The sequence below is a fragment of the Homo sapiens genome, chromosome 14, assembly GCF_000001405.40.
Source record: "Homo sapiens chromosome 14, GRCh38.p14 Primary Assembly".
Classification (NCBI taxonomy): Eukaryota; Metazoa; Chordata; class Mammalia; order Primates; family Hominidae; genus Homo; species Homo sapiens.
The window spans coordinates 67,290,297-67,303,794 of record NC_000014.9 but is presented as its reverse complement, the minus strand read 5'-3'; the positions used below and the strand labels follow the sequence as shown (position 1 = coordinate 67,303,794).

The 13,498-nt window shown below is 35.4% G+C and overlaps 2 protein-coding genes across 14 annotated transcripts in view; both read right to left on the bottom strand.

Annotated features, from left to right (window-relative positions):
• The window catches only part of GPHN (gephyrin), a 1,227,209-nt gene that overhangs the window by 431,561 nt on the left and 782,150 nt on the right, over window positions 1-13,498 (bottom strand). The window lies entirely within an intron of this gene.
• PALS1 (protein associated with LIN7 1, MAGUK p55 family member) overlaps window positions 1-13,498 on the bottom strand; it is a 94,627-nt gene that overhangs the window by 32,267 nt on the left and 48,862 nt on the right. For all 13 annotated transcript variants that reach the window (XM_047431691.1, XM_047431692.1, XM_011537086.3 and 10 more), the window contains 5 exons: window positions 11,076-11,284; window positions 2,329-2,406; window positions 1,677-1,823; window positions 1,224-1,385; window positions 196-273 (listed from right to left, as the gene is read on the bottom strand). In XM_047431691.1, coding sequence (XP_047287647.1) covers window positions 196-273; window positions 1,224-1,385; window positions 1,677-1,823; window positions 2,329-2,406; window positions 11,076-11,284 — 674 coding nt within the window. The remainder of the gene's footprint in view (window positions 1-195; window positions 274-1,223; window positions 1,386-1,676; window positions 1,824-2,328; window positions 2,407-11,075; window positions 11,285-13,498) is intronic.

The following is a 13,498-nucleotide window of genomic DNA, read 5'->3' as shown; positions in this document are numbered from 1 at the left end:
TTCCATCTTCCACCTTCCAAAAAAAAAGGTGCAGAGTTTACTAATTTAAAACATTGATATTTCATATTTATTTAAATAAAAATGATTGAATTTATTTGAGTACAGGAAACAGTGACATTTCTGTAACAGTAAACAGTAACAGAAGTAAACAGCATCCACAAACACATAAATAATGAACATTTAAAAATCACTTACTACTGTTTCCTTGGCAGGAGGCGGCTTGATCTGTTGACTGGGAATCAGGACAAAAGTCAAAGTACCATGCATATCAGACTGTAATAGAAAGATCAGGTTATTTTTTAAATTTGCATTTATGAAAATCATTCCATGATTTTATGATCTATATTCCCTAAACTGGACTATTTCAGAACCCCTCCACAGACTTAAATGACCAGCAGCACTTTGCTCTACCAAAGCAATGAATGGGGCTGGATGAAAATAAGTGTGTGAAGATGTCTCTAGATTTTACAACAGAATCAGTAGATAGTACAGATTCCACTGTAATAACAGATGCTGAATAACTAGGACCATAAATCTAGTCTGTGCGTGTGTACAAAGTGATCATAAATTGCACTCAAAAGATGTCTAGAAATGATTTTCTGATTATACTAGCACTATCCAATAGAACTTTCTCCAATGATGGAAATGTGCTATTTCTGTATCTTAATAATGGTAGCCATTAGCTACATACTGCTTCTCAGCACTTGAAATGCAGCTAGTGCGAATAAGGAACTGAATTTTAAATTTTACTTAATTTAAACAGAAATAGCTATATGCAGCTAGTGATTATTATGCCGGACACTGCAGATCTATAGCACTGTTATTATCTAATATTATTAGGAAAACAACAATCAATTACAGATAATAAAATAAAAGAACACAAAAAATCATCAGGACACAGACTTTGTTTTGTTACTGTTTCCCAAGTGGCTAGTGCATATTAGGCACTCAATAAATATGTACTGAGTGAATTAATGAGTTATATTACTGATTCCAGAAAAATAAAATATATGTGATAGTGATACATCAGAAAGTAAAAAAATATCAGTGGTACCACCCAAAAATAAAACTGCTAACAAATACTGTGGAACAGTTACATCATGGAAAAATCAGGCTAGAAATCATCTAGTGCTCTTAACAGTTATTTTAAAAATATTTTATTCTAAAGTCTAATAAGAGCTTTCTAAAAGCTATCAATTATTCTTCTAGCTGCGTCAACTTACCAACAAGTCAAAAACCTCATTGACATCTTTCCCCCGAATTTCAATGCCATTAATCTCTAGAACTTCATCTCCTTCATGCAACAGACCACTTTTCTCTGCAGCACCCCCTTTTACTATCCGGCTAATGATGACAGAGTCCATTTCATTACGAACTGTAGCACCCTAAAAATATATATATGTATAATTTAAAAATAAAAATAATACAATTTTTGTTAAGCATTTATTTTTAAATTCTATTTTTTCCATTCAACAATACTAACCTTCAGTTATCTTAAGAAAAAATTTATTTACACAACTAGAGTAATTGTAATTAGATTTAAAAGTTGACCATTTCCCCCACACTTTCTGCTTCAGAAATACTCTATTCATTAGAATTCTGAAATTAACCAGACTTTTGAAGCACACAACAGCAGAAAAATGCACTTGTTTAAAAACAGTATGTGGGACACTTACCAACGGAATATCACGAGCCTTTTCTATACGAACTATTTTTACAGTTTCTCCTCCATACTGGCCAATACTTTCATAAACTCTCTCATCTGTAATGGGCTCTAGCTGCATTTCCTGCTCAGCAACCTTATCGTGGGCCAGTAAAAGTGCCTGTTTCAAAGAAATCCATGGCATTTTAAGTAACAGCATGATTTATTTCTGCAGAGTGATTTTTAACCTATGTACATAGTATTCTGACCATTAAATCTTTAAAAGTGTTATAATTAATTAGAGCTAATAATAAAGATGTGTTAAGTATACTAAGGGCATACTCTGGAATGGGTTATGAAAGTCTAAAATGCTTACTAAACTTCGGAAGATAACATCAATGTAAAGGTCTACACACCCTAGATAATTAAACTTACAGAAAATACAACCAAAGGGGGGAAGAATTTTTGCCTAATTTTTAAAGAAAAAGTTGTTTCAAAAATAATTTGGTTCATTTTAAATCTGAAAATATATAATCCAACAATAACTACTATGTTATAGATGGGGTTGTAAACATCAAAATAGGCTAGAGAATGTTTGACATCTCTTCCAGTACTGGAGTCTTTGATTTAAAAAAATAGAAGAATGCTGGAAAAACCACATATATAGTATTCTGTCCATTTTCTACCTGAATATGTGGAGTATTCAGCAAAGCAGTTAGTTCTTGTCCTTCCTTATGATGAACTGGCTTCAAAACAGTTTGTACCTAAGAAACAAAAATAAAGATTATTCTTCCTAGATTATAGGAAGTATCAGTAGCACCTGTATGCAGGGTCATATTTTTTAAGTACAAATTAAAATAATAAAAATACTTGTAAGAAATAAAATCACTAAAAAGAATTATTAGAGTTTTCAATCTTGTTATTATGGATAAAACAACAGTATTTCTTATTAAAAAAACACTAAATAATATTTTGGTACTTACGCCTATAGACAAAATACTTCCATCTTGAACGTTTCACCCAACATACCATAAAATTCATTAATAATAATTACATAAGAAAAGAAAAACTGTCCTAACAGTTACCTTGCTATTTTATAGTTTTTAAATCATTTATGTGACTATTTAAAATCAGAGATGACAACTTAAAGAGTTATAGTCAGGCTGGGTGCAGTGGCTCACACCTGTAATCCCAGCACTTTGAGAGGCTGAGGCAAGCGGATTGCTTAAGCCCAGGAGTTTGAGACCAGCCTGGGCAACACAGTGAGACCCTGTCTCTATTTTATAAATTTTTTTATATAATTAAAAAAAAAGACTGACAGTCTAACAAGATGAATTTATATGAGTGTAATGGAACAATCACCATAATATAATGGATTACATTAAATTTCCCACAGTCGAGAAATCTTTGTCTTCCTAGGATAAACTCCCCTTGGTTATAAATTTTTTTAGCCTGTTTCCTTATCTTTAGAATGGCACCTACTATTTATGGTGCTTCAAAGACTGATTAAGAAAATCTTAAAACAGGCCAGATACAATGGCTCACACCAGTAATCCCAGCACTTTGGGAAGCCAAAGCAGGCAGATCACTTGAGGTCAGGAGTTCGAGACCAGCCTGGCCAACATGGCAAAATACTGTCTCTACTAAAAATACAAAAATTAGCCAGGCGTGGTGGCGTGTGCCTGTAATTCCAGCTACTCAAGAGGCTGAGGCATGAGAATGGCTTGAACCCAGGAGGTAGAGGTTGCAGTGAGCTGAGATGGCGCCACTGCATTCCAGCCTGGATGATGGAATGAGACTTTCTCAAAAAAAAAAAGGTAATTCATAATACAGGAACCCAGTAATTCTATACCTTTTATGGCTATTTTAAATCATTTTATCAGTAATTTTCCTATGAAACCCAAGAGATGATAATTTTGGGATTAATTAATTTTACCACAGCAAGTGGATCAAAGCAATGACAGTACCAAAACCAGTCTGTCCTCAGGTTTTGGTACTTAGAAAATTATATTTCTAATTGTAGAGTTCCATATGTATAAACAGGACGGCACAGCAAATATTATCTTCTTCAAGAACTCAACTAAAATCTTACAATGGACAAGGCTTTAAGGCTTTAAGACCCAGGATTTAAGACTGTGGGTAACTAAAAGTTGTTTTTAAAAGAGGGTATTTTCCCTTTTAAAGTTTATTAAGTCTACATTAATTTTAAATGAAATTTGTAGTCTTGATCATACACCTTTTGACAGCTGAAGAAACTCTGAGGATGGGAAGATAATTCTGGATTAAAAATGTACCAAGGGTATACAAAATACACTGAGTCAGCTCAATAATAATTTTCCGTATTAGAGATTTTCTCCCTATTCCCACTTTTAAGTCAGTTCCTAAACATCTCTGAGATCTTACCTTCTAAAGAAATTTAGAACTCCCGTGTTTACCCACTGCCCTACTAACCTATATGTTGCTTATTCTAGTGTCAACACATATCATCAGCTACTTCTACAACGGTGTTAAGGAATTAAAAGGCTATTCTTTTATTCTACTGCTCCTTTCCATTGGCCTATAAAAATACTCTAATCCCTTATCTTTAAAAATACCTTTTCCTGACCTTGTACTGTTCTTTAGCTATACCACTTTTCCTTGTTTTCCTTCAGAGGCAAGACCCTTTTGTATTTTAAAACTAATTATTTTTTTAATTATAAAAATGATGTATGTTAAATGTGAAAAATCAGAAAATTGATAACCAAAAGGAAGGAAGTAAAAGAATGGACTTTTATTATACTTAGGGATAATCACTTTGGTATATATCCTTCCTACATTTCGCTACTTGTTTTTACCAAAATATTCACCTTGATATATGTATCTGACAAAGAACTTGTAGCCAGAATATATTAAGAACTCTTACAACTCAAGACGATTAAAATGGAAATAAGATCTAACCGGATATTTCACAAAAGATAGAGAAATAGCCAATACACATATAGAATAATGCTCAATATCATTAGTCACTATGTACATGCAAATCAAAACAAGATACCATTACCTACCTGCTAGAATCATAAACAGGAAACAACCCAAATATCCATCAATAGGTAAGTGGTCAAATTGTGGGATATTCAAAGAATGAAATGATACTCAGCAATTTACAAACTACTGATACAAGAACAACATGGATGAATCTCAAAAACATTATACTAAGCAAAAGAAGTCTGACAGAAAAGACCACCTATTGTCTTATTACATTTATATGAAATGTCCACAAATGACAAATTTGTAAAACAGAAAGCAAATCAGTGGATATTCATAGGGCCTGAGGATTGAAAGAGGTGATTGTCATCGCAAAGGGCCGTGGGAGAGAAGCTCTGTGGAGTGATGGATGCTTCTACAACTTGATAGCAGTTGTATGTTTTACAGATGTACATATATGTCAAAATACACTGAACTATACAATAAAACACACTCATTTTAAGTGCATGTAAATTATATCTCAATAAAGTCAGTTACTCCAAAAATGTACTCATAGCATCTAAACTTTGAGAAAATTTCTATGTATATACCCCTTCTTTATTCTTGACATTTATTTTTACCAAAATGAGATCACGCTACTCATAGTTTTTATAATAGTATTTTTTTTTTTTTTGAGACGGAGTTTCACTCTTGTCGCCCAGGCTGGAGTGCAATGGCATGATCTTGGCTCACTGCAACCTTCGCCTCCCGGGTTCAAGCGATTCTCCTGCCTCAGACTCCTGAGTAGCTGGGATTACAGGTGCCCGCCACCACACCCAACTAGTTTTTTTTATTTTTAGTAGAGACAGGGTTTCACCATGTTGGCCAGACTAGTCTCGAACTCCTGACCTCAGGTGGTCCGGCCCCTAGTAACAGTATAACTATTTTGACTTGATACTAATAAATTACTAAAATATTTTATTTTTCTATGTCACTAAATATCCTTTTTAAAACAGAAATATGACCATTCTAGTTCTGAGTGGCTCTCTGTCACAAGATTAAGTCTAAGCTCCTTAGTATTAAATCTAAGGACCATCACCATCTGATTCTTTCGTCTTTTCCAGCCCTATCTCCTGGCATTCCTTATGCCTTAACCTTTTTGATTCAGCATTAAACTGCTTGTTCCCTGCACAAACCATGCTGTCTCCCCACAACAACTGTGATTATACTAGCTGTCTCAGCTACCTGAATTGCCTTATTCTATTTGCCTAGATAATATGTACTCATAAGACTGAACATTTGATCTAAAATTATCAATAGGGCTATTTCCCCACTAGACTGAGCTCAATGAAGATAGAATTGTATCTTATTCAGCTTCATATCTGACTATTGGCAGAATGTCTGACAAATAGCACTGAAATATTTAATGAATTCAATGAAAGGAAGAGAGGATAGGAAGTCATCCTTGATGTCTCCTTTACCTTTATTACCCACATAGACACTATGTCCTATTAATTTTCTACTTAAATATTTCTATAATCCATGTACAACTGCTATTCAAAATCTTACATCTGGACAATTACAATAGCCTCCACATTATTCTGTTTCCACTGACTTTCCACAATGTTATCAAAGTAATATTTTAAATTAGAAGCCTGTTTATATAAATCTGTTTAAAATTCTTCAGTAGATTCGCAATCATGTATAGAATAAATTTCTTGCTTTAAATGTTTTATGAAGTGACCTTTTCCTGTTAAATTTGAGAAACACAAAAAAAACTAGTAAAATTACCTATTTATCTAACACCCAGAGATAGCCTTTTTAATAGTTTATTAATTCTTCCATTACCTCTTACATGCAGTTTAAATGAGATATGTGTGTGCATCTGTATAAATTAATTCATATTTTCCCTGTTCCTATACAACTTCATAATTCATTACTTCTTCCTGTTTTATTGCACTGACTGGTACTGCCAAAAAATGTTGAATACTAATGGTGGGCATCTGGAGTTTCTTTATCTTATTCAAGACTTAAATGGCAATGTGTGGGTGTTTCACCATTAGGGAAGATGCTATTGGTTTCTGGTATTATTATTTTTCTTTTTTTCCCCCAAAGTGCTTTGTCACACATGTGGTATTATTTTTGACTATTATCAAGTTAAAATAATGTGACTGGCTTTCTAAGAATTTGTATCAACAAAGAAAAAGTACTGAATTTTTTTCAGATGCCTTCTCTGCATCAAAATCATCATAGGAGGCCAGGTGCTGTGGCTCACGCCTGTAATCCCAGTACTCTGGGAGGCTGAGATGGAAGGATTGTTTGAGCCCAAGAGTTTGAGTCCCAGCTATTCAGGAGGCTGAGGTGGGAGGACTGCTTGAGCCCAGGAGGTTGAGGTTGCAGTGAGCCATAATTATGCCACTGCACAGCAGCCTGGGTGACAGAGCAAGACTCTGTCTCAAAACAAAGATCATATGGTTTTCTCCTTTCACCTATTCATATAAGTTAATTCTTTTAAAATATTTAAAATATTTACCAAAGTAATCCATCATAGCATAAATTTAAATTTATTAATGGCCTTCAGGATCTAGACACCATCTTTTTTTTTTTTTTTTTTTTTTTTTTTTGAGACAGAGTTTCACTCTGTTGCCCAGGCTGGATGGAGTGCAGTGGCACGATCTTGGCTCACTGCAAGCTCTGCCTCCCCGGGTTCATGCCATTCTCCTGCCTCAGCCTCCTGAGTACCACCACACCCGCCTAATTTTTTTGTATTTTTAGTAGAGACAGCATTTCACCATGTTAGCCAGGATGGTCTCGATCTCCTGACCTCGTGATCTGCCCACCTTGGCCTCCCAAAATGCTGGGATTACAGGCGTGAGCCACTGCATCCGGCGTCTGGACACCATCTTTTAACATTAAGTCCTATGCTTACTTAGCATTCAAGAAATTTGCCAGGCTTTCTCTCTCACTACCACCTCTGTACCCTTTGAGCATGGAATGCCTTTTCCTCTTTCTTACGCTTCCTGGTATATTCTCAGTCACCCCTCAAGACTCAGCAAATTAAATTTCCTTCTATGTTTTTTCCTTCTTCTCACCATTCCCCTCATCCTTCCCATCCTCCCAAAACAGAATTAGGCACATCTCGGTGCTGTTGGCACTCTTCTCATATTGCCATCATAGCACTTCTCATTAGACTGTAATTGTTTACTCATTGTTCCTCCACAGCAAAAGCCTAATGCAACTTTCACAGGTTGACAAACATCTAGGTTTTTTTTGGTTTCTATTATCTGGTTGCTATGAACATCTGTTTTTAAGCTTTTCTGTGGACACATTTTCATTTCTCTTGGCTATATACCTACAAGTGAAATTGCTGGGTCACAGTATATAGGTACATTAGCTTTAGCAGATACTGCCAAACATTTTTCCAAAGTGGTAGTATCAATTTATACTCCACCAGTGATGTATGAGAGTTTCAGTTGTTCCATAAGTTCACAAACAATACTGACAGTCTTTTAAATTGTAATCATTGTCATTCTGGTGTCAGTGTAACTGTATCTCATTATGTTTTAATTTGCATTTCTCTGTTGGCTAATGATGCCTAGTTATCTTTTCATTGCTATTGGCCATTTGGATTTCCTCTTTTTTGTGAAGTGACTGTTGTCAATTTTTTTTTAACCGAGTAGTCTTTTTTTCTTATTAATTTCCAAGAGTTTTTTTTTTTTTGAGACAGGGTCTCACTCCGTCGCCCAGACTGGAATGCAGTGGTGCAATCTCAGCTCACTGCAACCTTTGCCTCCCGGGTTTAAGTGATTCTCCTGCCTCAGCCTCCCAAGCAGCTGGAATTGCAGGTGTACACCACTACAGCCAGCTAATTTTTGTATTTTTTTTTTAGTAGAGACCAGGTTTCACCATGTTGGCCAGGCTGGTCTTGAACTCCTGACCTCAAATGATCCACCCGCCTTGGCCTCCCAAAATGCTGGGATTACAGGCGTGAGCCTCCCAAAGTGCTGGTATTACAGACCGCACCCAGCCAACAAGAGTTCTTTATATATTTCATAGACAAGTTTTTGTCATGTATTTACACACACACACACACACACACACACACTTCAATATCTCAAAATCAAATACCATTTCTCAGCGCGTTGGCTTTCATTTTTACTCTCTTAAAGGTGTTTATAAGTTCATCTAATGAAGTCCAAGTTCTAAATTTTCTTTATAAAAGCACTATAATATCCTAGGGCCAGGCGCAGTGGCTCACGCCTGTAATCCCAGCACTTTGGGAGGCCGAGGTGGGTGGATCACGAGGTCAGGAGATCAAGACCATCCTGGCTAACACGGTGAAACCCCATCTCTACTAAAAGTACAAAAAATTAGCTGGGTATGGTGGCGGGCACCTGTAGCCCCAGCTACTCCGAAGGCTGAGGCAGGAGAATGGCGTGAACCCAGGAGGCAGAGCTTGCAGTGAGCTGAGATCGTGCCACTGCACTCCAGCCTGGGCAACAGTGCAAGACTCCATCTCAAAAAAAAAAAAGCACTATAATATCTAAGAAATTTGGTTTGTGTTTATTAGTAAATATGCTAGATCATCAAAGATTTAATCTAGACCTTAAAATTTGAGGTTTCCGTAGGCTTTATTATTATATGATACCTAATGTTTAACTGATATTTTAAGCCATGTAAACAAAGAATACTTCTGAATGTTTCACTAAATTTCTTGAGTTTTTTTTTTTAACTTAACCTCACTAGGCCTCAATATTCAGAATGTGAAACAGGGGAGTTGGATTGGTGATTGCTGATATTTTTTTCCAGCTGTAAAATAAAGGCAATGGGTCCATTTAACCTTTACGATTTTGTTATCAGATTTAACATTCCTCTCCTTGTTGAGTTCTGACTATGTGCTTTTTTCACAAGTATAATGTACTGAAAGGGCAACTTCACAGTCATGCACACTCCAGGGGAAACCATTCACGTTCTATCACTGAAGACACTATAGTTACTCTAAGGACGTGAAAGCAAACTTTCAGAAAATCTCCTTTATACAGTACTTTTAAAATAGTGAACTATCCTATATTCACATATGTGAATATGTGAACTATCCTAAAACTAATATTCAAAATTGATCTTTTTTAAAGTCCTTTTTAACAACTTATTTCTTCCCAAGGCATTTACTCTTTAAGCCACTTTAGTTCTTTGCTTTTCTCAACTCCTAAAACCCTTTAAGCTAAGTTGTTTCTTTTCTCCCTTCTTTCCACCTTTCTATTGTGTGTGTCAGCTTTTTTCAATTGGAGCAATTGTGATCTGTCTTGCTTCTCTCACTCTCTTCTTCACCCATTGTTGTATTTAGCAAAACAAGGACCCAGTAGCCAGCTGGACAAACCTTCCTCCTAAAAGGGACAGGAATGATTATAATGATTTATTTTGTATTCTTCCCAACCGGATTTGAAACCAGTTCACTTGCCTGTGTGTTCTCAAATATGTCATATTTTTACCAAATATATTGGTACTCGTCTTTTCCTTCTATCCTGGAAGTGAGTCCAGAATTGCCTACATGTGTGAATAGTATAAGATCAAGGTAATGTTATTTCAATCTCCGTAAGAAAAGTAATTTTAAGAAATTTCAGAAAACCATTTAAACCATAAGTAAATATGACAAGTGAGAAAAATATCTCCCTTGGGGACAATTATGTGCTAATCTACAAAGTACCTTCTAACCTATTTTATAGGTTCTGTAGCTCTAGATGTCCTCCCTCCCCAATAGCCCATTTTCTGCTCATGTTGGCATTCAATGAAATACATTCACTTGATGGGATTCCAGAATTATTCATTTTAATAATACCAAAATAACTTAAAACGCTAGAATAATGAGAGACTGTCTACTCCCCAAAACAGGAGAGTTTATTTATACCCTTTTTAAATCTTAAATTTAAAAGATGTTTGCATAACAGATCAAACACTGAACACCAGTTAGCATCAGAAACAAGAATTTAAGTCATCATGTTAACAATAAAAACTCCCATAGTATATTAAGATTTAATAATTTGAAATGTCTACAGTTTTTATAGGAGGAAAACTTCCAAATACCTAGACATAATAAATCTTAGGCGTTATATAATGCCTGATTATCAGTTATAATTATCTCATCAGTATTCACTATCTCAGTTTATAATGTATAATGCTTAAAATTCATAAAACTATACTAAAAACATTAACAAATTGCTCTCTAGTAATTCAAATATTTGTTACTATCCAAATTTATGATTATATATAAAAAATTAACTCTTCATGAAACAGTGTTCTGACTCTGAAGTAAACTTTTTTTGTTTTTAGGATAAAATGCATGTAGTAAACTGTCACAATACATTATTAACATGTAATTAACAGTAATTAATTCAAACAAATCTTATAGTCACATTAGTATTTTCCAATAATCCTGCCTTCCTGCCACTACTAATTACCTTGTAGACATCAACAAGATGTTTAGAATACATACCTCTTGAGCAAGATCTTGTGCGTTGGAGATAAGAGGAAATGGAGGACTGGCCTTGTTCATGTGTACTGTGATGGCATTGTGTATCTTAAATGCATTCTGGAAATCCTTATTTTGAACAAGTTGTAAAAGCAGTGAAATATCCTCCTGGCTCTGAGAATCTACCAAAGTATGTTGGATATGTTTAAGTGAAGAAAACAAGTCTTCTATTTCTAGTAGAAGAAGAAAAGGTATCCAAAAATTAACTGTTTCAGTATTAATTCAACATGCATTTTCAGAGAACATTTCTTTGAACCAGTAACAATTTAAGTTTTCAGAAAAATACCAAAATCTGCATATATTATTGTCAATCATGGTCATTTCATAGGTTTTAAGTAAAACTCTTTTAAAAATTACACAACAGAATAACTTGCATTTTTACAAAGGTGTTTTAATTATAAAACTAATACACATTCAATATAAAAACAAGTGAGGGGAGGAATGCAAAAATAAAGAAATTTAAAACCACCAATAATCCCATCACCTAGAAATATTTTTTCTTAACATCCTATTTCCTTTTTAACAGTACATTGTAAATGTTTTCCCATATCACTAGTCTTTTTAAATATTTAATGATTCCATTATATTCTATTACATGGCTAAACCATAATTTATAGTAACCATTAAACTAAAGTTGAACATTTAGATTGCTTCCAATTTTTTGCTACCATAAAAACAAGCATTTCATTACATAATAATCAGTGCTACATATAAATTTGTCTGAGATTCTGATGTCTTCATAAGGTAAGTCCCAGAAATAGAACTTTTAGATAAGATTCTGACATTTTTTAAAAAGTCAAACAGCTTTTCTAGGGAGGCTTTACTAATCTGCATTCCATTAGCAATATTTTCAGCAATATTTGATATTATTATTTTTAAAAATCTTCCATTTATTTGACTAGTAAGGAAGTTGAGGTTTATTCACAATTACCAGGCACTTCTTTTGTGGTCTATAAAACTCTAATGAATATGTGAGTCTCCTAAGTTGTACTGAAAGTTGTGGGCATATGTATGTGCATTGTGTCTGCCTGTTAGTGTGCATAAATAGCACAAGCATTTTTCTGGAAAACGTTATTCTAAAATGGTTAAGAAGCACTGGTAGGCTGGGCGCAGTGGCTCACGCCTGTAATCCCAGCACTCTGGGAGGCCCAGACAGGTAGATCATGAGGTCAGGAGTTCGAGACCAGCCTGGCCAAGATGGTAAAACCCCGTCTCTATTAAAAATACAAAAATTAGCCGGGAACAGTGGCGGGCACCTGTAATCCTAGCTACTTCGGAGGCGAGGCAGGAGAACCCTGCACAGTGGCAGGCGCCTGTAATCCCAGCTACTCGGGAGGCGAGACAGGAGAATCACTTGAACCCAGGAGGCGGAGGTTGCAGTGAGCCGAGATCACACCATTGCATTCTAGCCTGGGCAACAGAGCAAGACTCCATCTCAAAAAAAAAAAAGCACTGGTAGTCTCTTCCCTGCTCCCAAATAGGCTGTGTGAGTGTACATGCACACGCACATATACTCTGTCATATTTGTTGGGAATCGTTTTCCAATATTTCCATTTACCTCTTAATTATATTTATGGTTGCTCTTATTATAGAATTTGTCAACTCCGACCCCCCTGCTTTTCCTGTGTGATTTCTTTCACTGTTTCTATGCTTATAAACTTCTTCTTGTAGGTCATTAAAAAATATTTACCTAGATTTCTTCTAGCTTTTTATAATTTCTACTTTATTTAACTTCTATTTAATTTTAATTCATCTAGAATTTATTTCAGCATAGATCTGAAAAAATTTAACTTTATTTTTCCTCCAAATAACCAATGATTCTAGTACCACTTATTAAATAATCATTCCTGGCCAGGCGCAGTGGCTCAGGTCTGTAACCCCAGCACTTTGGGAAACTGAAGCAGGTGGACTGCTTGAGTCCAGGAGGTGGAGACCAGCCTGGGCAACATGGCGAAGCCCTGTCTCTACTAAAAAAATATAAAAAATGTCTAGGCACAGTGGCTCACGCCTGTGTTCCCAGCACTTTGGGATGCTGAGGTGAACAGATTGCTTGAGCTCAGCAGTTTGAGACCAGCCTGGGCAACATGGTGAGATCCTGTCTCTTTTTAAAATAACAATAATTTTTAAAAATACAAAATATTAGCCAGGCATTGTGGCATGTGCCTTAGTCCCAGCTACTCATTAGGCTGAGGTGGGAGAATCCACTGGGGCCATGATCACGCTACTGCACTCTAGCCTGGGCAACTGAGTGAGACCTCATCAAATAATAATTCCTTTTCCACTGATTTACAATGCCACCAAATTCTTACACATATCAGAGTCTGTCTTTATTTCACTGGTCTATCAGAACTATACTGTTTTGTTAGAGTAGCATTATAATGTTTGTT